The sequence below is a fragment of the Homo sapiens genome, chromosome 1 (assembly GCF_000001405.40).
Source record: "Homo sapiens chromosome 1, GRCh38.p14 Primary Assembly".
In the NCBI taxonomy this organism is placed as follows: domain Eukaryota; kingdom Metazoa; phylum Chordata; class Mammalia; order Primates; family Hominidae; genus Homo; species Homo sapiens.
This window is the reverse complement of record NC_000001.11, coordinates 106,046,279-106,073,423: the sequence shown is the minus strand read 5'-3', so window position 1 is coordinate 106,073,423 and position 27,145 is coordinate 106,046,279. Positions and strand designations below refer to the sequence as shown.

The 27,145-nt window shown below is 34.1% G+C and overlaps 2 long non-coding RNA genes across 4 annotated transcripts; one reads left to right on the top strand and one right to left on the bottom strand.

The window, feature by feature from the left end:
- Positions 1-267: 267 nt before the first annotated feature.
- On the top strand, positions 268-25,216 carry LOC105378885 (uncharacterized). 2 transcript variants are annotated; one of them, XR_947668.3, is made up of 3 exons: positions 268-466; positions 24,228-24,341; positions 25,129-25,216. It is a non-coding gene; the product is annotated as an uncharacterized LOC105378885 (long non-coding RNA). The 2 variants fall into 2 exon arrangements; XR_947670.3 differs by lacking the exon at positions 268-466 and adding an exon at positions 20,900-20,937.
- Positions 24,591-26,879, bottom strand: LOC105378886 (uncharacterized). 2 transcript variants are annotated; one of them, XR_001738171.2, is made up of 3 exons: positions 26,760-26,879; positions 25,650-25,798; positions 24,591-25,205 (listed from the first exon to the last, which is right to left on the bottom strand). It is a non-coding gene; the product is annotated as an uncharacterized LOC105378886 (long non-coding RNA). The 2 variants fall into 2 exon arrangements; XR_007067037.1 differs by lacking the exon at positions 24,591-25,205 and having other exon boundaries at positions 25,432-25,798.
- Positions 26,880-27,145: the final 266 nt, after the last annotated feature.

Below are 27,145 nucleotides of genomic sequence, written 5' to 3'. Positions count from 1 at the left end.
CCTATTACTCACTTTCACTTCTGTTTTTACTGTATGGTTGTACTTCTTTCCCTCTAATGACATAAAGGAGATATGTCTCTCGTCATATTAAAGGTAATTTTATAACATTAAATAGTTTTTCTATTACTTTTTATATAATTTCTCTAGTTATTATTAAAGTCACTATGCTAGGAGGTCATAGTGCTTAGAACTTAGAACTTAGTGGGAATAGCTTTGTCATTTATGTGAGCCCCTAGAACCTCATCTGATATATTATGGTAACAAGATGGCTCTATGAGCTGGCCATACTCAGTAGTCAGAGTGAAACCGGCCATGTAAAAACGACAAAGCATAGGATTCAGTGTAGGAGCTTGGGCCCCGTGGTATCAGTTGACTTACAGACTGAGTTCAACCACATGGGCAACATATTAATCAATCATACCTATGCAATAAAGTCTTCATAAAAACTATGGACAACAAAGTTCTGGTGAGCATCATGGGTTGGCAACACTCCAGGTACATGGTTTTACATTATTCTAGGAGAATAATGCATCATGAGGAAAATAAAAGATTCACGTTTGGTACCTTCTCAGGCTGCCCTATACATGCCTGCCTTTGTTGATTTTCTGTATTCTTTCTCTGTAATAAGCATAACTGTGTAGAATAGCTTTCAATGAGTTCTGTAAGTCTTACTAATGACTTATTGAACCTCAGGGTGGTTTTGGGAAACCTGAAAATGTGCAGTTGGTGTCAGAAGTGAGGGTGGCTTTTCAGGGACTGTTGCCTCTAATTGTATTTGGACCTTAACTCCTTGAAGTTGGGGTCATGTACCACTTTGATAGCTGAGACAGATGCTGAAAGATAAGAAACCATGAGGTCTACGTGATTTGACATCTGAAGAGAATTTTAAACGTGTGAATTGGAGTTATCTATGCTGAACATTTAATAACCATTTCTCTACCATCTAGGATCATTTTTCTGATCGTTCTCTATAAGGAGCCTTGGAGGGTTTTGTGGTCTGGGTTGTTCACAGTGTATGTAAAGTAAGAATAAGCATTGTTTTTCTACCCCTTTATTCTTTCCTCCCTTCCTGGTTTAATTAATTCCATGTTATTAAAATATATGATAATTACATGAGACTGCCCACCCTTAAAGGCTTATATCATCCTTTTAGTTCTTGTATGCTTATTTGTCACCTCCACCGAATTCTATGCACCATTAGTCAAGGTAGCATTTTAGTTATTATTGTCACATCCTCATCTTGTAACAATCTGTCTCCTACTAATAGCTATTTTAAAATTTTTTGGACATTGATGGGTAAATATGTAAAAGAAATACCTTGTAATGAGTGTGCTCTCATTTTTTCATGTCTTAAAATTGTTGTCATGCAATTATATTACCTATTCTATTGAGTGCTACTCTCTCACCAAAATTTTATTCTTATGTTTCAAATAAAACTAGAGGATCCAGGGTCCTTTTTCTAAGATATTTTTCCCCAAAAATAGGTTGGTCTAATCTGCTTTTATAGAACAGAAAGAGCTAGGGGGTTGTCAATAAGAGACAGTTTAGAAAATCTGGATTGGGGAGATGGGGGAAACTAAATGTGTTATAAATTTTAAAAATTGGTCTTGGAAAAAAGTGAGTTTCAGTGCTGGTGGTCAGGTGGGTGAGAAAAGGGGAATGTTAATAGAGTACAACTCATTTTGCAGTTTGTATTTATTACAGACTTCTGGGACATCTGCTGAGAAATATATAATTAGAACAAGAAATCTCTAAAGAGACTTTCAACGACATTATCAGATTATCTTCATAGATTTGTAATTGCTGATCCATAGATTCTGGGTACCTTTTGGTAGGCATGGAAGATAGAGGTGATATCAGGAGGTGATCTGTTTCTTTGTAGGTCTTTATGTGAATCAAGTATATGTAACAATTTTCAATAAACCATTGCTGTGTGAAGATAATTTTAAAAATATTTTACTTTTATTTAGGCATAGCCACATTCATGTCCTCAACTTTTATTTGTATTATTACATATATTTACTACTTACATGTATTGACTTTTTAGTTTTTGTTGTATTGACTTTTAAGAAAGAAAATTGAAAGGAAAATAACATCGAATAGGGAGTATTTTAATAATATCTCAAAATTTTGGAAAAAGGAATGTAGAATACACCAGTGGCCAAATGATTTCAAGGAAATACTTTTTTAAATAACAAAAAAATCTTAATTAGCTCCAATGTTGTAAATACTAGATTTGATTTCACGTTTTTTCTTTGTTTTTAGTAATTTGTAATATCTAAGGCCAAGAAAAGAATAGTATTTATATTAAATATATTTAAATTAGTAAAAAAGATGATTTATGTGTTATTATGTACCATGCAATCACTTTTATCTTTTATATTATTTCATATGGCAGGATGTTGCTTTAGCATTTTCTTTCTTAAATAGTAATCAGTGTCTCTCATTGAAGTCCTTCAATATCTGTCATTCTTCTAAGTTTCTTTTTTTAGAGCAGTTGGTCTTTATGATAATAATGGAAAGATAGGTATATTTTATATTAGAATACTTTGGTTTGAGTCTTGGACATAGGAGATTAGTATAATCTCCCTAAAATATCTTTTTCATGTCTATGAAGTGTGCGTATACATACTTAACTGACACACAGATTTACTGTGGAAAGCAAATAAGAATAAAATTAATTAATTAAAAAGAAAACTCTTTTAAAACCTCTATATCTATCCTAAAATAACATCAGTTTATACATGTCTCAGTCTCCCAAATAGCTGGGACTACATACGCACCACCACGCCCAGGTAATTTTGTATTTTTAGTAGAGATGGGGTCATGGCCATGGTCTCGAACTCCTGACCTCAAGCGATCCACCCGCCTCGGTTGGACTCTGTCTTTTCTTAATAGCCAGTAGGAAACTTCTGGTATTTACATTTTCTAAAATATCTCATTTATTTATAAATTCATCCATCCATCTGTCATAATTCATTCATAAAACAAATACAATTTGAAATTAATCTATTGTCTTAGGGGCTATGATAGATTCTGGGGCTACAACTTTAAACAAAGTACTGCTTCTCTTTCAAAGATATATTGGTTTTGATTAGATGTGTGTTATAAATAGCAACAACAATACTACCTAACGTCTAACCACAAAATGCTGGGTGGCATACTGTGATAAATATTTATTTTTTTTATTAGTCTGTGGATCAACAGTGTGGTTTTGCTTATCTAAAATGATCTTAGGTAGGACAACTTATATTTGCATCATGCTATTTCTAGTACTCCAGCAGACTAGTTGGGCTTATTGTAACAGCCTAAGCAGACATCCAGGAGAAAGCTATCCTATGTATGTCCTCTTGGTGAAGACAGGAGGCGGGGACATGGGAAGAAAGTTTGCAAAGTCTTTTGGACAAGACTTAGAACTGTCACACTTTCAGGCAAAGCCATAAGGCCAACTTACATTTACAGAATGGGAGGTCGACTGCCTCTTGATGAAAAGCATTGTAAAATCATATTTAAATGGTATGGATATAGAGTTTGTGAAGAATTAAAGCCATTTTTGCAATCAGTCCCCCTCAGTGGGAGACATAAATAGACAAATAAAGTATAAATACTTCATTTTCTCTCCAGCTTGTCTCCAACTTTCTTTGCCATTTCTCTTTGTTCAAACCTTTCTCACTCCTGATATTTTAAATTATTAAATACCTGAGGTGAGGTTCATAAACTTAAAGAAAAGGGCCACATGAAGAGAAAGCACTACCTAACTTCATGTTTCTATGCAACGGATATTTATTGTGTGCCTGTTCTTTTATGAAAGTTTATGGAAGAAGCATGTTTTCTCATGAATATTTGGGGATCGTTATTAAAAATCTATGGTAGGGGATCTTCTTAGGGGATTTCATTCTCCTAAAAAAATAAAGAGGACTGTCTGAAATATAAAAAAAAAAAATTTTAAATATTCTTTTCTTTTTATCTTTCTTCTCTCCTTTCTTCTCTGTCAGTAGCTTATTGAAATATTTTGTCTTGTCTTTCCCAGCAGTTTCTCTAAGTACCATCTCCTCTCTCTCAAGCTCTCTCTTTATACCTTTCCCTTTATTATTAAATTTTTATGAAAATTTCCAAAGCACCTCTTATATTTCTGATATTTGAGTCCTACCTTTTATATTTACTTTCTTCCTTCTCAATCTATGCAGTTCGACTTCAATCCCTATTACTCTGCTGACATAGCATTTGCAATAATTTCACATCCAGTCTAGAGCTTTTGACCTGCTTGACTTGCCACCATTTTCTTTGAAACTCTATCTTTTGTTTTTCGAAGGCTTCTCTTTACTCTTTGAGTATGAATTCTCAACCTATAGCTAAGATTCCCCTGATTTTCCAACAAGTGAAAAGAAATAATGAATTCCTGGAAAAGACAAGCACATAAAATATTTGATAACTGACTTACCTTGCAATTTACTGATTTTGAAATGTATTTATTGATGTTAGTTTTCAAAAATTTGATTAGCTAATTTGCATCAAATATCTTAAGGTTAGTTTTGTGGAAATTAATAATCCATATTTTGTAGTTATGTGGTAAAGACTATTAAACTATTAAATTAAAACTACTTGAAACAAATTTTTCAGAAAGAATAAAATCAATTTCTGATTCACAGATTCATTTAAACTCCAGAATATAGATTTTTATTATTTGGCTTAGGAATTCATTATCATGGCAAGATATATGTGGTTATTTCAATATTTTCAGTAATTCAATATATTTAGTATATCTTAGTTTTACTCTACCTAAAATTAACACACTTACTATATCAGCAGGAACCAGCAAATAGAAAGGAAAATAATAATGTAAAACCTTGATGCTAATTTTTATATCACTATGTTACTTCCTTATTTTACAGAAGCTATGGTCTACTTATTTTTAAAAATATATAACATTAAGTACTATCGTATTTTCTCATTTTAAAAACAGTAAAATCACCTAGTTAGTAAACTCTGATGCAAATACCTCAAACACTGTGTTTTGGTGACGTATCTTTTCTCAAATGATTTTCTATAACAAATACATAGATTAAATTTAAGATGTTTAAATATTCTTCCCTGGGATTAATATACACATTGCATTTTCTCAGTGTCAATCATTTTTATAGCTATGATTTATTATAGTTGTTATACTCTTTTTATAGTCTTTTTAGACATTTTTGAATTGCCAAAAATGATAAGTATAGATGCTAATAAATGTAAAACTTTGTAAGGAAATATGTTATTTATTAACCATTAATATGAGCTTAAACTTTTCATATTCAGAACAAGTTATTGTTGCCTTTGATGATATTATTAGAAAGACATTTTCATACAGTGTTGAACAACTCTATGAAAAGAATGTTTCCATATGCATGAATATATGAAAATAACTATTTTACAAAGAATAGCTTTAGCTTTGTATTTTAGGACAATTTTCACAGTGGGAGAAAGAACCAGTAATATATTTACTCCAAATAATCAAAATACGTTAGGCTCACAGTCAGGTACATAATTCATATGGCCTTCAATAAGTACAAGTGGTCTTGATGATTTTAGATGATTAGTTTTTAATTCTAGGGATTCCTAAGAGCTGAGCTAGAGGAAAAAAGTGCAGTTTTCTGATAATGTTCTTAAGCACATATAAAGAAATAAAGTTTTAAATTGTATGCCAGGAGCTAAGCTATACATGCATGACACAAAGAAATGAACTAAAATTGTAATTCTTGACAGATGATTGCAGTCTAGCTAAAATGTCAGTGACAAAAAAGATTTAGTAGCAATTTTGATTAAATATTCAATGAAGGAGGAAATAAAAAGAGACAATGAATAAGCTTAGGAATATGTGGAAAGAGATGCGTCCATTTACTTGATAGTCTCCAGATTAGAAAAAATTAATAATAATAATCATCATCATCATAATGAATAACAATACATCTATTTTTTATTGATTTTCAAAAGCACAGTCTCTCCTGGGATCAACTGCTCACTTTTTATCTGTCTAGTATAGGTTTTTCTGCTTCTTGGTTTGCCAGGTCCCTGGCTTGTTACTAGTTTGCCAGAGCTGCAGTTCTTGCTTTAGTCAACTTCACTGAGAACATTCGTCCTCATCATGCCAATGATATTCTGGATCGCACCTTGTTCAATATGCCTTTATACAGATAAAACTCTGGCCCTTTCCTGCTTAATTCTGGGCTTGCTTGACCCTCTTCCTCAGTTAAACTAAAATTTCTGAATGGGCACTGAGTTGTTGCCTGTTATTCAAATACAAAATTTCTGGACCCATCCACAAGGACTCATGAATCATAATCATCTACATATTAAAAGGATCCTCACATAATTTTTGGATACACATATTTCAGAACCAGTTATCTATGTTGTTTTGATTTTTTAAATTCTAATAGTTTTTCCATTAGGCAAACAAAATCATCCTATGCTGATTGGTTGATTTTAAAACTTTTAATTAGACAACAATGTATTTTCAATACATGAAGTAATTTGTGACTAACAGAGATGTCTAAGAAAAGAGAAAGCCTTGAATAATCTTGAATGATAAGAGATATATCAGTTTCTATATCTGTTCATCACTTGATGGACTCTTAGGTTGATTTCACAGCTTAGCTATTGTGAATAGTGTTGCAATAAACATGGGAGTGCAGATACCTCTATGACACACTGATTTCATTTCCTTTGGATATATACCCAGTAACAGCATTGCTGGATCATTTGGAAGCTCTATTTTTATTTTTATTTTTTTTGAGAAACCTCCTTACTTGTGTCTGTGACTATGGAACTTAATATCCCACCAGCAGTGTATAAGAGTTCCTCTTTCTTCACATCCTTACCAACACTTGTTAGCTGTTGTCTTTTTGACAATAACATGTGTGAGGTAATATCTCATGGTTTTAATTTACATATCCCTCACGATTAGCGATGTTGAGCATTTTTCATGTACTTATTGGCAATTTATATGGCTTTTCAGAAATGTTTCTTCAGGTCTTTTGCCCATTTTTAATTGGGCTATTTGTTTTCTTGCTGTTCAGTTGTTTGAGTTCTTCAGATATTTTGGATATTTACCCCTTACCAGACACACAATTTGCAAATATTTTTCTCTCATTCTCTAGATTGTCTTTTCACTTTGTCAATTGTTTTTATTATTATACAGAAGCTTTTCAGTTTAATGTAATTCCATTCATGTATTTTTTTTGTTTTTTTTTGCTTCCGCTATCTGTGTTTTGAGGGGTCATATCCAAAAGACAGTTGTCCAAACCAAAGTCATGAAGCTTTTTCCCTGTTTTCTTCTAGTGGTTCACAGTTTCAGGTAGTACATTTAAGTCTTTAATCCATTTTAAGTTGATTTCTTTATATTGCCTACAGTAGAAATCTAATTTCATTCTTCTCCACATGGTTATTCAGTTTTCCCAGTACCATTTATTAATTAATTAATTTATTTATTCATTTATTGAGATGGAGTCTTGCTCTGTCACCAGCTGGGAGTGCAGTGGCGCGATCTTGGCTCACTGCAACCTCTGCCTCCTGGGTTCAAGCAATTATCCTGCTTCAGCATCCTGAGTAGCTGGGACTACAGGCACGAGCCACCATGCCCAGCTAATTTTTTATATTTTTAGTGGAGATGGGGTTTCACCATGTTGGCCAGAATGGTCTTGATCTCTTGACATTGTGATCTGCCTGCCTTGGCCTGCCAAAGTCTTGGGATTACAGGCGTGAGCCACTGCACCCAGCCAGCTCCCAGTACCATTTATTGAAGGTATTCTCCCTTCCTCATTGTGTGCTTTTGACAACTTTGTTGAAAATGAATTGACTGTAAATGCATGGATTTATTTCTGGGCTATTATGTTACATTGGTTTATATGTCTGTTTTTATGCTAGTACCATGCTGTTTTGGTTACTATAGCTTTGTGGTATACTTTGAAGTCAGGTAGTATGAAGCCTTTAGCTTCATTTTTTTTCCTCGAGATTGCTTTGGCTATTCAGTATCTTTTATGGCTCAGACAGCTAAATTCCTAAGTGTTAATGTAAATACTAATATAAAGGTGTATAGTCAGCAGGGAATTTATAATAATATGACAATAACAACAGTGATTTAAGAAAAAAAAAACTTAGTAAACTACCAGTCCTTGTCCTGATTTAGTAGATTTTCTTTATGGTTTACTGAAGGGTTAACTAAATATAGCTGCTTTCAGTTCATACATTAATATTCCATAGTGATCTTGCAATTAGACAGTTTGTGAAAAAATAAAACATGTAATGGATAAAGAAAGAAACCTCAAATCACTGAGAATTTAATGCCTTTTCAAAACATAGCTGAGTCATTAGTCATTTCATTTTATTTTTTACAATCATTTGACAATAGGATTTCTATAAACACTGATAGTAATGAAATAACTAGAATCTTTTTTTCAGGCAAAGAAGATGTGATGACTTGTCCCAATACAGTGTGTTCTATTTATTTGTTTTACACTGTGTGTGTGTGTGAGAGAGAGAGAGAAATACAGAAGAGTGACTTAAAAAGGGGGGATAGATAGATAGATGATAGATGGATAAAATGTATCATACTTTTCAAGACTTTAGGAATTTTATGCTCATTATCTCATTTTATCTTCACAAGTGACCTATAAGATAAACAATACTATCAACTTTGGGTTTCAATTAAAGAAATTGAAGCTGGGATAGGTAAAAAAAAAAAACTCAATAAAGGTCAGACAGGTAGTAAGTGCTATTCTGGGATTCAAATTCCAGAATCGTTGAATTTCAAAGCTTTCTCCTCAGGGGAAAGACGGGCTGCATTTTTCCTCCTCATACAGAATACAAGCTCCTCATTTTTCAGACTGAAGGGCACTGAGTTTCACACAGATGGCTCTATGATTAGCAGTAAATCGGCCCTTAATTGGGAAATTAAAAAAATAATTTCTGAAATTCCATGTAGAAAAATCACTTAATATCAGTTGCATTGCTTTATGGCAACAGTTAATGAATTAATTATATTTACATAAGCAAAACAATGAAGCAGAAAGTAACTCTTTAAAGTTAAAAAAAAAGATAGCTTTTCAAATGCATTACCCAAGCATGATCACCAATGAGATGATGATCTTGAATACTCCAAAGTCAGCAAGTTAAAGAATTCGCTTTAATGTGTCACCATCACTCTTAACCTTTGTACACATTGCCCTCACTATATAAAGCTGTAAAGTAATTCTCAAATTAAAAAGAAACAAAATGCTGACAACATCTTCTGAGCATTAAAAAATTTATCTATTCAAACATACTAATGCAGAATAGGAAACCATGCATGTTTTATATTTAGAAAGCTATATGTAAAATACCTGCTAGTGATAACGAATACATGGTTTCAGAAAAAAATTCTAAAGAATATTTACATACATATTTAGTGTAGTTTCTTAACTTATTAGTCATTTGTAGGCTTCCCTGAAATAAGAGAATAAATGTGACTGGAATGTAGCATAACAAACTCCATTTTTTTTTTTTTTTGATATGATCACTTGTTTTGACTGAGAGGAATTGCTGGGTGTTGAGAGAGCATGGTGAATTGGATTATTGAGAGGAATGTAAGCAACATAAAGGGGCAGGAGTATTGTATCTTTATGAGTTCTCCTTCTGCATGAGGCCCACATAATGTATTTATCACAGCTGAGTGAGCTCACTTGAAAGCCATTTATGATGTGTAATGCTCTGTGTCCTTTGTTGGAGCATTGGGTGACAGGTTAATTGAATAGAGGCAAGGCAAACAATCAGGGTCATGCAAGATGACTAGTGTATATGATGGTTAAAGACAGTACTTCATTTGCTAAAGAGCTTTTATATATGAGTACAATCTCAAATAGTCCTTTAGAAAAATATTCATTCGTAACTGTTCAGAGGTATCCAGGGACTTATTAGGTAAAATTTTCTGTAGAAATTTTTAAAATATTCAATCAGGGTTGTAGGTCAGACAATTGATTAACAACCTTGAAAAAATGATTAGATGATTATTCAATACCACCAACACAAAACCACTATGGCCCTCTGGGGTATATTTATTCACTTTCTGAGAGAAGCTGTATTAAGGCTAAAAGATTAACCATAGGCATGTATTATTTTTCTATGAATAAAAGTAACTTCATTTTCATCTACATAATTTTTTTAGTACAAACACAGCTACATGGATGTATATTTTTAGTTTTTAGAAGAACAATTAAAATGGAAAAATTGTGACATTATTAGAGTACACAAATTACCAATACACTCCCATCTAAGACAGCTTTATTTTATTCCTTCTCACTTCAAATTACTATTTATATCTCGGAAAAAAAGCTACTTTGTGACTTATTTTTGTATTTAAATTTATCATCTCTCAGCATAAATTTAATGGGTTTTTAAAATAAAATTTGCTTGTTAATTATACGTTTCAGATTGATTCATCTTTTCTGTTAAGCTCTATTTTACTTTTAGAAATGGCAGTGTAAGGACATCTAAAAATCTCTAAAAAGAAAGAGAACACTGTCACAAATAGTCAATATCAACTATTTTTGAGTCCTGGTAATTAACTAAATGGTTGCTATAATATGAGGAGTATTTACTCAAGGACAATGATTAAACTGGGGGAAGAACTGCAAGTTTGAGCATTTTGTCTTATTCTATTCCCCTCCTTTCTCTTCAGCTCTAGGGTAGTAGACTTTAAAGCAATCAGTCATGCAACCAGCAAGCTTTGAAAATAAACAGTTTAGCAATGACTAGAGGATACAGAATAGGTTTGAAACTTCTCAAAAAGCTACATCCCAAGAGAATTGTTACTATTTGACCTGTTTACCAGGTCCTTGAAAAAGTTCCATTCCCAGGGCTTGTCTTTATTTGATCCGCCTCAGAGTCCACTTAGTGATAAAAGCCCTATACCCAGGGTTTTGTCCAAAAAAAAAAAAAATAAAAAATAAAATAGAAAGAAAGAAAAATCAGCAGCATTGCCTTAACACTGCAGCTGCCTGAGGAGGCAACACTAGTTGGACAAACAAGAAGCTTGGCAAAAACTTAAAGGAAAATCTGTCAAATGAGACATCCATGGTGGCTTGGAAGAACTCGACGTATTCCTGGGAGTCTAGAAGGATATGATCATGTGCAGGAGTGTGTGAAAACCCAGGAAAGGACTGAGAAGGCTCTATTCCTCCCCTTGGCTGACCGTGAGGGCTGCTGCAAGCAGGAAGTAAGAATTAATACAGTTACAAACTGCTGGAGTGTTTAACATGTGTCTCAATATACACACAAAGCCCTTAGCAAAGAGTGGGAGCCTCACTGGTTCAAGATGTTTAATAAAATCTCTGTCCAATCATTAGCTGACCACTACTCTAACTAAGCAGGACTTCAGTGGCCATACACAGCAAATAATTCACAGTTTACAGATTTAGTTTAAATAAGCAATAAAATCAACAAAAAGAAGTAGCATCAACAAAAGCAAACCCTGGGGAGGGGAAAGGGAAATTTTATTTTCATAATACCTACTTTTATTATTTAAAATGTCCAATTTTCAATAATAACCAAAGAGATTTACAAACAAAAAGTAAAGCATGACTGAATAAAGCAGTGGAATAAAGTAGTTAATAGAAACTGTCCCTGAGGAAGCCCAGATGTTTTACTTTGTACCAGGCAAAGACTGTAAATCAGCTATTATAAATATTTCCAAAACACTAAATGAGACCATGTCTAACAAATTATAAGGAAAATTATGAGAACAATGTCTTTCCAATAGAAAATATCAATAAAAATGGAAATTATACAAATCACTTAATAGTTATTCTTCAGTTGAAAATTACAGTATTGAAATAAAAAAGAAACATTGGAAGGATTCAAAGGCATATTTAAGTGAGTATAAAAAATAATCAACCAATTGGAGATAGGTTAATCAAGATTATTCTGAAAAACTGAAAGAATAAAGAATGGATGGAAATGAATACAGCCTCAGAGAAGTAGGGAACACTATCAAGCTACTAGCATGTATATGATAGGAGTCATAGAAGAATAAGAGAAGAGTTTGACAAAGGGGTAGAAAAATATTTGAATAAATAATAGCTAAAACACCCCCACATTGTAGAAAAAAAATTAATCTACTCATCTGAAAACTGAAAAGACCCCAAGTAAGATAAACTGAAAGGTCTACAACTAAACACATCACAGTCAAACTTTGAAAAACCAAATTACAAAGACACAATCTTGAAAGCAGCAAAGGAAAGGTGACTGGGAGCATCAGTATCATTAACAACAGCCTTATCACCAGACACAATGACAGTAGAAGGCAGTAGGACAACATATACAAAGTACTCCAAAAGAAATAATGTAAAACACAAATTCTATACACCACAAAACTATTTTCAGAAATAAAAGATAAATTAATACATTCCCAGGTAAACAAAAGGTTTGTAATGGGTTTGTAATGTATAAAGATGAAATGTTTATGACAATGCTATTATAAAAAGGGTAGAAAGAACACAAAAACATTGAAACAAAGTTTTCACATGGTATTAAAATTAAGTTGTATTAATCCAAATCATATTGTTCTAGGTTAAAACTAAGTTGTCTTAGTCTTCTTGGACTGCCATTATAAAATACCATAGGCTGTGTGGCTTAAACAGTGGAAATTTATGTCTCACTCTTCTAAGACTCAGAAATCCAAGTTCCAGGTGCCAGAAAAATAAATCTTTATTCTGAGGCTTCTTCTCTTGGCTTGTAGGCTGCTGCTATCTTGCTGAGCCCCTTCATGATCTCTTTATTGTGCACACAGGGAGAGAGTCAGCACTGGTCTTTCTTCCTTTGTTTTTTTTTTTTTTTTTTTTTTTAATTTTCTAAACACCAGTTTCATCATGGGGGCTTTATGCTCAGTACTTCTTTCAAACCTAATTATCTCTCATAGACCCAACCTCCAGATACAATCACATTGAGGGTTTGGGCTTCAAAATATGAATATTGGGAGTATACAAACTTTCGATCAGTAATACGTATTGATTGTAATCCCTTAAACAAATATTTCAAATTAAATATTTGAAAAATATTTAAGGAGTAAAATAAATTAGAAAGAATTTAAAAGAGTATACCAGAAAATAATAAACAGAAAAAAATACATAACACAAAAAAGTTAATTATTAAGAACAAAAAGGAACAAGAGAGACATAGATATATAAAAAACAAATAGAAAACTAGTAGTCTTGAGTCTTATCAGCACTTACATTAAAATTAAATAGAATGAGCAGTTTAATCAAAATTATGAGGTTTGGTAGAATTGATTTTTTAAAAAACAATCAAATTCTGTACCGTCTACAAATATGCACTTTAGATTTGAAGACAAAAATAGGTTTAAAGTAAATAGGTTTAAAATATAAATGATATGCCAGGCAAGTAGTCAGAACTGGAGTGTCCATACCGATATCAAATACACATATGTACGTATAATTTCTTTACATGCACACACACACACGTTTTATATATATATATATATATATATATATATATATATATATATATATATATGTATAGATAAATTATCACTAGAAAAAAATGGCTGTTTTATAATACTAAAAGGGACAATCCTTCAGAAATAAATAGCATTATAAAAATACATTCACCAAATAATAAAGCTGTGCATTCAACACAGATGCTATCAAAATCCAAGCTGGCTTTTTTTTTTCAAAAATTAGTAATTTGTTCCTAAATTTTATGTGGGAAGGCATGAGACCCAGACAAGTCAAAACAAATTTGAAAAAGAATAAATTTGGAGGACTCACATTTCTCAGTTTCCAAACTTAACTACAAAGCAATGGTAATCAAGACAATGTGGAACTGGCATAAGAATGGACATATAGATGAAATAAATAGAATTGAAAGTCCAAAAATAAATCCTCGCATTTATGATAAGTTAATTTTTTGGTAAGTGTTCCAGGATAATTCAACTGGAAATCATAGTTTTTCAACAAATGCTGTTGGAACTACGGGAATCTACTAAAAAAAAAAAAAAAAAAAAAGAAATTAAGACCTTTACCTCAAGACCATAAACAAAAATTAACCCAAATTGGATCATAGACCTTAACCTAAGAGCCAAAGTTAAAAACACTCAGAATGAAATGTAGGAGTAAATCTTCTGACTTGTGGTTAGGCAGTAATTTCTTACATATGCTAATCTTCTTGAAAACTGTGTAGATTATTTAGCAATATATTTAAAATGAAAAGATAAAATGTATTTGCATCTTATATGGCTAAATAACTTAAAGCATTGGGCTCAATATGTATGATTCCTTAGCTGGAAAATACACTTGTGTGTTTTCTCCCCAAAGCCAGAAAAATTAGTTGTTGTATGTGTGACATCTAAGCATTAACGTATTTTAATTGTGATGTCAGAGGCAGCACTACAGATGGAAAATAAGCTGGAAAATCCATCAAGTGTAATGAAGATAATATTTTAAAAGTATTAAATGAACAAGTATACTTTTTAGGCCTCTCCCACATGAATCAGCTTTGAAAGTCATACTGACATTATGGCCCCATTAAAATGGAAAGTACGAATGTCACTTGAGCAAGAAAAAGATTATGACAAAGAACAATATCTTGTTTAACAGCAAAGGTGAAGGAAAGACTACTGGCTGAGAAACTCAAAGAAAGAGAAGATACCCAAGAGTTCCGTAACATAGTCACAATACTTTCTTTTCCAGAGCCAAAATTCTAACAAGAATGGAATGATAGATTAGATTATGGAAATCAAAAGTGTAGAATTTTGTGTCCCACACACCATATGGATTTTTGTGGAAGTAGATGATTAGGGCTTCTCAGGGATGTCCTGTGGCAACATGTAAAGAAGATTTGCTCATCAGGGTAAAAGTAGTGGTATGGTGAGGAGGCAGATAGAAGATCAGAATTTCTCTTCTTAAGTTTCCCTCAGTTTGAGTTTGAACACCACAGATCCAGAGTTCACTATCAGCTCCATTCAGAGCCAGAAATAGAGCTTTTGATACTGGATAATGATTTCTTCAGAAGCAATATCTTTGATTGTTGTATGAAAGTGTATATATGGGATCAGAGATGTTAAAGAAAGAAGGCACAAAGCAATTCTGTAGTTTATGGCTATAAGGTCAACAGTGAAGCAGAGATCAACTAGGGATTACAGGCAACTTTCAGTGAAATCCCTAGAACCAGAATAAGCTACAGCGACTCAGAATTAACAAAGAAAAAATCTCCAGGTGCTTAAGAATCCAGGAAAAATGTTCACTACCTAAGGAGTGAGATTAGTTTAGTCATCAAAAATGCAACAGCATTTTTGTCTTTGCATTCTTAAATTTGAGCTTTACATTTGTAATTCCACTATATGGTGAATCATAATATATAAAAACATTTTAGAAATAATGCTTAAGTCTTTTAAATATATGAATATATGGGGATTATTCCTAAAGTTCTTGGAACTTTAGTTGCTGAGATCTAGAAAGAAAATCCTGTTTATCAGCTGTCTGTTATGTAACTGTTTTTTGTTTAAAGTACCACATGACAGAACTCTCCTAAAAAGTAGTAAAAAAATAATAATAATTAGAAGAAGAAGAAGCTTCTCTTGAATAAAAGACATTTTTTAAATAATGTTTTGTTTTTGGTTTTCTTTTTTTTTCCTTTTGCTTGTTATCATTAGGTATTTAGAAAGGTTGGTGATAAATTTAATGCTTATCTCAGGTTTATGGGAAACTATTACCTTATCCTTTATGATTCTTATTACTTGACACTTTTCCTTTTGTACATAACAATGCAAGCCAAGTTTTGACACCTAAACCTACAGACATAATCACTTTTCTTTTCATACCTAAGCACTGTTCTGTCTATACCATATCTATTCCTGTACCTACTCTTGTCCTATTTCTATTCCTAGTTCTGTATCTACACCTCTGCCTGTACCTTTATAGCTGTCTGTTTCGAGTTTAAAATGACCTTAGTGGTTTGGCTATATTTTGACTTCAAAGTAAGAACTAGTGTGGTAATAACAATTCGCATTTAGTACAACAACATAATATTGTTCCACAGGTTGACCAAAAGATATGCAATAGAAAATGAATTTTATATTTCTGGTAGTAATTTTTAGTAAGATAAATTTATTCTTATTCAAATTTCCTTGTGCAAAGTTCATTATTATTTTTATATGACTTGCATTTGAAACTCAAAATAACATTGGAGGAATTGGTGAGCTGTTACCAATATCTTGATAAATTAAAGGATACTTACATGCTCAGCAAATGGAATGTTTGTGGAAGCCTGGGAACAGATGTGAACGGAGGGCCGCATGCTACTTAGTGGAGAATAGTCAGTTTCCCAACAGGGTTTTTTTTTTTTTTTATTCCCTCAGCTATATGTACAGGACTTCTGCTCCAGTGGCCATATATGTATGGCATTTGGGCAGTGTAAATTTATTGTAATTTTATTTTCCTTCCCACTACCCTTTCCTTAGATTTCTCACCTCCCAGTAGTGCAATTGAAAGGGATACAGTTGCACTATCAGAAGAAATTTCATGAACAGCAAACCTTTCAAATTTAATTAATTTGGGTGCATAATAAGCATTTTTTTCTTTCTTTGAGAAACACATTACTGAACTAAAGAATAAGGAGCATGAACACCATTTTTAATCAGGCCCTTGGTGAGTAATTTGGAAATAATAAACTTTGCATAAACAAAGGTAATTATACTTACAACTAAAGCTAGGAGAGAACTCTCCTTATTTCTCATTTGTAGAAACTTAGAGACACATGTGTTAAGATTTAATTCATTTACTGTCGGTAAATTTGACTTGCAGGTTTAGTTTTACAGATTTTTATGTATTAGTTATGTCACATTAATTGATAATAACGGCCTCAAAACTTGAGAGTGGTTTTTTGTTGTTTATAATTTTGACATAAAAATTAATATAATAACATGCACAAATCTTACATCTACAATTCAGTGAATCTTGACACACACCATTTACTGATCAATCTCAAATATCACCAAAATTTGGAACATTTCCAGCCCTCTACAGAGTTCCCTCATTTCTTTTCTCAGTACATTCACCATTATTTTTCATTTCCCAACTGCCAAGAGAACCGCTTTTTTTTCTAATTGGGCTCATCATGGGTTAGCTTTTCCTGTTTTTGAACTTTAGATAAATGAAATCATGCATAAACTGTGAGCTCCATCTGGTCGAGCAATCAACTGTCAAGGTGGTCAAAGACAATAGACCAAATTGAAACTAACAATCAAGCTCTAATTCACTTACTATGTCAGTGCCAAAAATAGGCAAAATGCTAAGCTGCCTCCCTAATATTCCATTCCCCCCAGCATGGATTGGCAATGGAAAAGAATCAGTCAGGTGACTCAGCACAGATGGGAGGAATTGCCTCACTGCATAACAAAAAGCCCTTGCCTCCTTCTGGACTTCAGTCCAGGGAAAAGGCAGTGGGAGGGAGAAGGAAAATGGCTAGAAATAGAAAGGCAGAGTCCAGATAGTAAAGAATGCCTCAGTTAAGTCCTCCATTAATTATACTTCCCATGGAGACACCTAGACTAGGAAGGCAGACGTGTATAAACCTGGCTGGCCCAAACGTACCTGAGTTCTTGACTGCAACTCTCTCCAGAAAATTGCAGTGCCCTGGCTGTGCACCAAGCCTGCTGTAGAGAGGACAGTTTCCCTGGGTCAGGCTTGCTAAACAAAGGCTTGTACTTGCCTACAATCTGGCCTGAAAGATCATACATAAATTTTGGCCTGAAGTCAGACTGTTCACATCCATGTTTTTATATGTGTCAGGATCTTGTTCCTTTGGTTTCTGTTGCTGAGAGTAGTATTCCAACATATGAATATATCTCAGTTTTGCTTATCCATTTTCTTTTTTTCTTTCTTTCTTTTTTTTTTTTTGAGACAGAGTCTTGCTTTGTCACCCAGGCTGGAGTGCAGTGGTGTGATCTCTGCTGACTACAACCTCCACCTCCCTGGTTCAAGCAATTGTCCTGCCTCAGCCTCCCAAGTAGCTGGGATTACAGGCGCTCACCACCACGCTTGGCTAATTTTTTTTAGTTTTAGTAGAGATGGGTTTTCACCACGTTGGCCTGGCTGTTCTTGAACTCCTGACCTCAGGTGATCCGCCCACCTCGGCCTTCCAAAGTGCTGAAATTAAAGGCGTGAGCCACCGCGCCCTGCCTGCTTATCCATTTTCTTATTGATGGGCACTTGTTATTTTCAGTTTGAGCTATCATGAGCAAAGCTACTTTACATATTCTTACACAAGATGTTTTGTGGAGGTATGCCTTCATATCTCTTAGATAAATGCCGAAAGGTAGAATTGCTGGGTCATGGGGTCAGTATATGTTCAAATTCATTACAAAGACTTCATTAAAAATTGTCTAAGTGTTTTTCCAAAGTGGTTGTACTGCTTTCCACACAAAACCCCAATATTAGAGAGTTCTAGTTGCCAGGCTGGAAGGCAGTGGTGTGATCTCGGCTCACTGCAACATCTGCCTCCTGGGTTCCAGCAATTCTCATGCCCCAGGTAGTTGGGATTACAGGTGCACCCAATCAGGCCTGGCTAATTTTTGTATTTTTAGTAGAGACGGGGTTTCACTATGTTGGTCAGGCTGGTCTCAAACTCCTTACCTCATGATCAGCCCACCTCGGCCTCCCAAAGTGCTGGGATTACAGGTGTGAGCCACTGTGCCTGGCCTGTTTTTCTTTTCATTACCGACTCAAAATTATCCCTCCCCTTTTCTGTGGACACAGTCACTGTTTTAATTTTCAGATTAAATTATGTTTCTACATTTTAGCCAGCCACATACTGACTTGTTTCTACCTCCTAAAAATATGCATGTGATCCTAAGACTGTGTGTCAGCATGGGAATTCCAACTTTCAGCATGATAAAGATTCACCTGTCTGCTCCTCTCCTTCTTCCCAGTGTTACATTTGAGATACTCGTCACCTCTGACTTGTGCCCTTGCTGTGGCCTCACAGTTGGTGCTGCTACCTTGTGTCTTGGTCCTTCAGTCCATCCTTTAACCCATCCTGGAGTGATCTATCATAATGAAATCTAACCAAACAATTCTTCTCACAATCTTTCTCTAGCTCCTTGTCAGTAGTACCTGGAGCCCTCCATAATTTGGTCCTGCCTGCCTTTCCAGCATCAGCTCCAACTACTCTTCATCTGATTTCTAAGATTCCAGTGGTACTAACGCAGTTAATGATTCCCCACACCTCTGCACCCTGCTCATTTTTGGTTTATAGGATGATATTTTATTCATTCATTCATATATTTATATTCATTCAATATGTATTGATGGCTTACCTACTACGCAGCAGGCAATGATTTCATTACTTGGAATATTACGTGAATAAAAGATATAAAAATACCTAATTTGAGTACTTTGCCTGTGATGCCTGTATTTGTCATCTTCAATTGACTGACTTTTATCTAACATTGTAGTCTCATTTCAAGTTTCAAGGTTTATTTTTTCTAAGAATTCTCCTGTGATTTTTTTTTTCTTGGCCATGCTTCAAACTAGTACATACTAAATGTTCTCAAAAATCAGTTTATTCAAATTAGACATTCACCTATTTTTTACACTATTCTGTAAATTCCCTGAGTGCTATGCTTCATAAATCCTTATAACCAGAGCACCTAGCACAATTAACATCTAATAAACACATGTGTTATGGCGAATGACCACAGAAAAAGACGATCTCAGAAAGTGATTAAAACTGAAATCTTAGGGAATAAACTCATGACTATGAATTGCAAATTATAAATGATAAAAAGGCTGATTGTCATATGGGATGTCTTAACCTATTTGAACTGCTATAACAAACATTTTAGAGCTGGTAATCTACAGACAACAAAAATTTATTGCTCACATTTCTGGAGGTAGAGAAGTTCAAGATCAAGACACCAGCAGATTTGATGTCTAGTGAGCCTTTTCGTCTTAGATACTGCCTTCTGTGATCTTACTTGGTAGAAGTTGCAAACAAGCTCCCACAAGCCTCATTTAAAAGGGCAATATTCCCATATATGAGGTTTCTATCCTCATGACCTACTCCCTACCAAAAACACCACTTCTTATGATCAACACATTGGGGATTAGATTTTGATATATAAAATTTGGAGAGACACACATTTTCAGACCACAGCATGAGTATTGACCTGGTCATTTTCTAGGTGCTCAGCAAGAAACCAAAGGTTCAAAGGTTCAGAAGAGACCTGAAGCTATTGACCTGTGCTTATTTTCCTCCACCTATCTTTCTAATCTCAACAGAGTCCAAATAATTGTTGAACTGCCCTTAATATTTGGTTTCAGGATTCCGGAAGCTTCACCAATGTTTGTTTGTTCATTTTTAATTACTTTATAATATATCATTAGCAAGAGAATTTATTGAGTGTCTTTTTTGCATGTGACATAAGGATATTGAAATATAATTTAGGGAAGATTAAGACTATAGTGATTCAAATTCAAGGAAGGATGTCAACTGTGATGTAGATGCAAAAATATATAGAGAACAGGGAAAAATTGAATAGAATTTGAAGTGTGCCCAGATTATCTTCCAATGTGAAACTGGAAAACTTGTTATTCTTATTTCTGTGTCCTATGTCTACTATTTAGTTCTCCCAAAATTCTCTTTTCCTTTCCAGCAGACTTTGCAAAAAAGAAAGAAGAAAGTAAATAAATGAAAATAGAAAGGAAGCTAGAGAAAGAGAGAAAGAAAGAAAGAAAGAGAGAGAAAGAGAGAATGAATGAGAGAAAGAAAGAAAGAGGAAGAGAAAGAGAGAGGAAGAAAGAATAAATGAGAGAGAAAAAAAGAAGAAAGAAAGAAAAAAGAAAGGAAGAGAGGAAGAAAAGAGAGAGAAAGAATTTTTTTTCATTTTACTTTCCCTGAATCCTTCCCCAGGTAGTAGCTATTTATGGTAACTACCTAAACATTACCAAAGTTTATTTTTATATTTCTCTTTTGGTATGATTTTCCTACTGTGACTTATACTACTATGTGCTTTCATAGTGTTTCTCACTTGACTGGAAGAGCGGTAGGATGTATCTGGACTCCACAATGCTTTTATATTGCAGGAATTCAATAAATGATACAAATGACTGGACACAGGCCAGAATGTTTGGATTCTGTTTAAAGTGATGAATAAAATTTATCTTTTGATAATAGAAGTGTTATATATAAAATCGCTTTTTAGGAAGATTAGTGGGTTAACTATTTTGATTAAAATGACTTGTAATATTGTGGTACATGGACACTCAAGTAGAAAAAGAATATTCATTAATTTACCCACTGATTCAATCATTCATAAAGAGCTTACTATGTATCCATCACTTTTATTATGTCTCCATCACTTTTTAGCTTACTATGTACCCAACACTTTTTAGGTTTCAGCTACCATGGTAAGCAAGAGCAAGCCTTACTCTCATTCCAGTTGGAGACAATAGTGTGAATTCTAACAAAACAAACTATATATGAGTGCTAAGGTGCCAACTGAAGGATGTATTAAAAGCAAGGAAAAATAATAGTGACTCACCTGGAAGAAACATTACATGATTTCTAGATATCTCAGAAAGAAAAAAAAAGAATATCAAAATAAGTGAAACTAATTAACTGTATTCTAAGTGGAGAAGGTAGGAGTAATTGGGGAAAAAAATCCCAGAACACTTTCTTGAAAGAAGACTTAGTGAAGAAGATACTCAGGTGTTTGAAGAGATGTGGGAATCATTGTCTTCTGTGGGAAGATGAAAGTAAGGAGATGGAAATAAACCACTTTTTGGTTCAGTGGTAAGACAGAAACAAATACAAAAGAGTCACAGGATTCTTATGGTTAAGCCACATGAGTGTCTACTTAAGAGTCTTCAGCTCCCTGTGAAGAGCTTCCCACTGGGTAAAGGGAAGGAAGAAATCTAGAAAGTCTGTCTAGGACGAAAGAGGTGGTCCTAAGCAAGATAGTTAAGATCTGTCTTCTCAAAATGTAAGAAGAGTAGAAAAATGGGAGAGAAAGAAGTAATTATCAGACAGTAAAGTGTATGTGACATCTGGTGTGGGATTTGGGAGAGTCTAAGAAATATTGCTCAAAGAGTAGCGGCAACTTTGTGTCATGTGAAAAGCTAGGAACCGTTAGCTTGCTATTCTCCTGAACACTTACTCTGTCCCCAGTATAATAAATATGTGATGGAGAAGTAATATTTAAAATAATTATTTCAAGAAAAATGAACTGTAAGAATCTGTGTGGTTAGATTTTGGTTGAGTGTTCTGTGGGATGGAGGGCTTGGATATATAGATGAAAGAACACATGAGAGATTTAAACCTAACTTCAGCAATTGCTAATTTAAGGATCCTTGGAAACATTATTGGGTATTTGATATCATAATTGTATGAATGCTAATATTTGTTGCTTGTTTACCATGTGTCAAATCCTGCAGTTTAATAGCTCAATCCATTTCTTTAAAGTTTTCATGTGATTTTTTTTTCCTTTTAGCAATTTCTATACTAATGATCTAGAATATTTGCTTAATAAATTATGAATGGCTTTATTTCAACAATGAGGATATTCACTCATGGCAAGACTGGGAACTTTGATTTTGATTCTCTAGTCTTTAATACTTCTACTGTTTACCTAGATAAAGGCATAAGGAACACAACCACCATATTTTTAATTGATGTAGACCTGGGTGAAAGAGGTAATAAAGTGATTTAAGAGTGATCTTTAAGATACTCTGCCCAGTCTACAATGGTGAATTTAAATCGATAAGTACGAAATTAAATACAATTTTTTTATAATTTATTTTATCATTATTTTTTACTTGGAGTTACAATGCCTAATTGTTTCCCCAATTTTGTCACTTTCCACATTAAAGATGTTAATTTGGCATTTGTAACTGAGGAACCAAGAGACCATAGAAATGATATTTATGAAACTCCAAACTGAAGTGTCATACTAAGATGAATATTTTTAAAAGAAAAATTTGATTACAAAGTTATTAATTCTCACCTAGATCCAGGTTGTTAATAAATTATGTTGTTGGTAATTAAGAGAGATTTAAAGATATATTTTAGAGAGAACTTTTGGTGAACTATGAGTCCAAACATTCCCAAGTGCAAAGAGATATGGGTTCCTGACCCTTATCTCAAGCTTAGTAGGACTGGCTTCATCAGGACTGTGTAGAGAGTTTGATATGCTATGAAGTTGGGGTAATATAATGGACCTGTCTTTGTCCTGCTGGTAAATTCAAATGGGGAGAGGTGGGGTAGCTAGTTCTTCCACATCTGGAAGTAAATGGGTGATTTCATTAGGCTGAGGCTGTATTTCCCAGAGTTTGACTGGACAAAGGATACAGATGTGTTATAGAGACCAGCTATCAGTCATGTGACTAAGACAGGTCACCTTAATGTATCTTGGATCGTGTCCAAGAGGGCTTCCCATAGTCTGGAAACCTTATCAAAGAGAAACCAAGGATAGCAGTGGATCCTTTAAGACAGAGGAAATATGCCATCTGCATCAAGAAAAGCAAACATGACAGATAAGGGACAGTGTCTCTGAAGAGATCATAGGTGGTACAATGCTGCAGTGAAATCTTGGAATTTCTTCCACATTCCTGCAACCACACCCTGGTAACCCCTTCTCATGCTGACTCATATTTGGTCATGTGATCTGTTCTTGCCAATGGGATAAAAGCAAACATCATAAGCAGCAATTTGAAAAGCACTTTTGCATTGGGGCTTACCTTCTCTTTTACTGCTTTTTGTACTTTGTCATGGGAAGAAGCTACACTATTGAAAGATGAGGCACATGACCCAATCAAACCTGTTGTCTCTGATGACAGTCAACCCACCTGCAAACACACATATGGCTTTCTGAGGCTACTCAGCCCCAATGGAGCCACCATCTGACTTTTGACAGAACCCAGCCAAGATAAGAGAAGTCTGGTCCAATCAGCAGAATTACACAGCTGACCTGTTGACTCATGGGATATAATAAAGAGCTGCTGTTTTAAGGTAGTAAGTGTTGAGATGGTTTGCTACACAGAAAATATCACTGCTACACCATTAAAGTCCCCTATAAGAGAAAGGAAGCTTTAAAGCCAGGTCTACAAAGCTTAGAGTCAGTTGCTGACTGTAGCAGTTAAGTAAGAACTTTGCTGCCCCTTCTCTTATCTCTTTACTGTCTTCAATATTCACTTCACTTCCAGAGTGTTCAGAAATATCAAATATGAGCTGAATAAGTAGTGGAAAGACAAGGATTCATCCGTTCCACAGACTACAAACCTGGCCGATAGAGGGAATATTTCATTTTAGATCAAATGGTAAGAGTTTTGACTATTATATAGGAGTGAACAAAATACCTTGACATTGTTTGAAACTTATAGTGACCTTTGGATTAATTTTTTTTTTTTTTTTTTTTTTGAGACGGAGTCTCGCTCTGTCACCCAGGCTGGAGTGCAGTGGCGCGATCTCGGCTCACTGCAAGCTCCGCCTCCCGGGTTCACACCATTCTCCTGCCTTAGCCTCCCGAGTAGCTGGGACTACAGGCGCCCGCCACGACACTCAGCTAATTTTCTGTATTTTCAGTAGAGACGGGGTTTCACCGTATTAGCCAGGATGGTCTCGATCTCCTGACCTTGTGATCCACCCGCCTCAGCCTCCCAAAGTGCTGGGATTACAGGCGTGAGCCACTGTGCCCAGCCTGGATTAATATTATTTGTATTTAATCTAAGAATTATCTGCAAAGGCATGGAACTGCGTGTTTGTATCTAGTACCCAAGAAAGAACTCCCCCAATGCAGTTTAGGAAATAATGTTGCTTTATGATTATATCCAGTGAAAGTTATTTTCTCAACATTCTGATTACTCATAGCATAAATGAGACATCTAGCAATTGTTTAATAGTTTTACTCTATGCATATAATGGGTAGAAACATAGTTTTAGAACTCTAAATCCCATGATTATTAATTATTGGAAAGATTTTTGAAAAATCTATCCTTCGAAATATAGCCTGTGAGCATAGATTCTTTTGTGTTCTGTTTTGAAATATACTCTTACCTTCACCTGCTCTGGAATCAGTGGTTCTCAGAATGCTTTCTTCTTTTGCAGATTCACTGTCATCTTTGTCTGATATTACAACATAGTGACCACACAACTATCCTCAATGGTATTTGACTACATGGATTCTGTAAAAAGATGAAGCTTAAGAACACTATTTTTTTTCAAGTGCAATATACTGTAGTCATAAGATGAATGGGGTCTTGTCCATATATCTACATGAAATTTAGATAAAGCAAGCAATGTGAAGAACACATAATCTCACATTTTGCATGTCACACTATAAATTCTATACCAGGTTGTACTTCATTTTTGCCCTGTTTTTCTCTACCAAAGGGAAACAAATGAGGAGAGTTCACCATATTTGTTTATTTATTTAACATTTGAAAATCATAATCACAGAGTTGAACTTCATATTCCTTGGTGTGCTTCATGTAGCACACCCAAGATATAGGTGAGTGGTGGCTTTTTTATAGGAGAAATTACAAAGCTTTTTTTCCTACATCTGAAAACTCACATCTGAAGTTTTAAAATGTGTACCTCTCTAAAAGATACAATTGCTTTGTCCTCACCTGTGTGATGAGGTTAGATGTTGCCATTCTGTGAAAAGCAAAACCTCATACCAGATGTATTTTGAATGAATCCTTGATTCACAATGGAAGTTGCTCACAGCTAAAATGAAATATGTGTTGCCTTCTCTCTAGTTTGTTTTCTCAGATTTCTAAACACAAAGACAAAAAAGGACAGAAAACACTTTGTATTTGCTATAACCTTGAGAATCAGTCCTAAGAGTTAGATGTCAAATTGTTGAATTACTTGCTCTTATTATCCTCTAACTATTCCATATTCTTTTAATTGACTCAGTGTTGTAAAGATAAACGCCTTGGGTTACGCATAACACAGAACACAGCACAACATAATGCAATTTCATAAAGGATCTTCTGTAATTGCTTATCACACGTGGCTGTGCATGACAGATAGAAACAATAAAAGAACAAATGGAAAATATTAGGCCAAACCTTATTACTGAGATAATATTTGAAACAATCTTGAAATACTTTTTGATACACATTGTCCATATGTAAGCCTTGTGAATGATTGCAGTTTCTCAAATCTATCTGGTTGTATATTGGAAATGGTGGGGAGCAACTAGTAAAGGGGCTAACTTTGCAAATAAGAATTCTGAGTGTTACAAGAAGACAAGCAACTGATTTAAAATAAAAGTTGGTATTCAAGGAATAAGAGTTCATTATATTGTCAGTAGCCCCATCATTGATTAAAAACAGCGAAGTATCAATGTTGACTCTGTGTTTAATATGAGGCATGACAAAATTTTCCTCATGAAAGGGATGCTGACCTTTCAAATCCAAGCAAGTACACAGATAACTTAATATCATTTTGCTATAACAAAAGTTTAAGAAGAGAAGTGATAAAATATTCATTTAGTTTGATTTGAGAACCTGAAGTTTTCAGTTATTAACTTATCAATTAAGTGTTTTATCTAAAATAATCTCATAAAAACCTGGGAATATTTTATTGATGTTTATTATTTCTCTCATTACATGTCAACTTCTGAGGATTTCCTGTCTTCAGAAATCATGTGAGGCATCTTAGTGATGACATAATTGATGTCTTTGAGTTGACAAATGATAAAAGTGGGGCAGGAAAGTAAAATGACTTACATGAAACTGATATAAGATGAATTCATGACAGCATCTGTATAGAACCAAGGGTATTGTCCTTTCTCGAGGTCTTCAAATGTTTCATAAAGATTAAAAGTTCTGAGGGCATGCCTGCAGGGAGTAGAGGGACATGATTTGAATAAGATTTCCATGAGTTTAAAATTTCCTCCATATTTCTATTTGTAAACATACAAACTTATGAACACTTTATGGTCTAATTAGTCATGTTCATTTCTCAATAAAATTTATTTTTAAATTCCCTTGAAGGACGCTCACACATACATAGTATTTTCTGTTTTATTATCTAGGTGGTCTGGCAATTAAATTATTTATATCAGAACACTGAGTTAAACTGAAAAGAGATGACACTGAATTTCAATTTCATA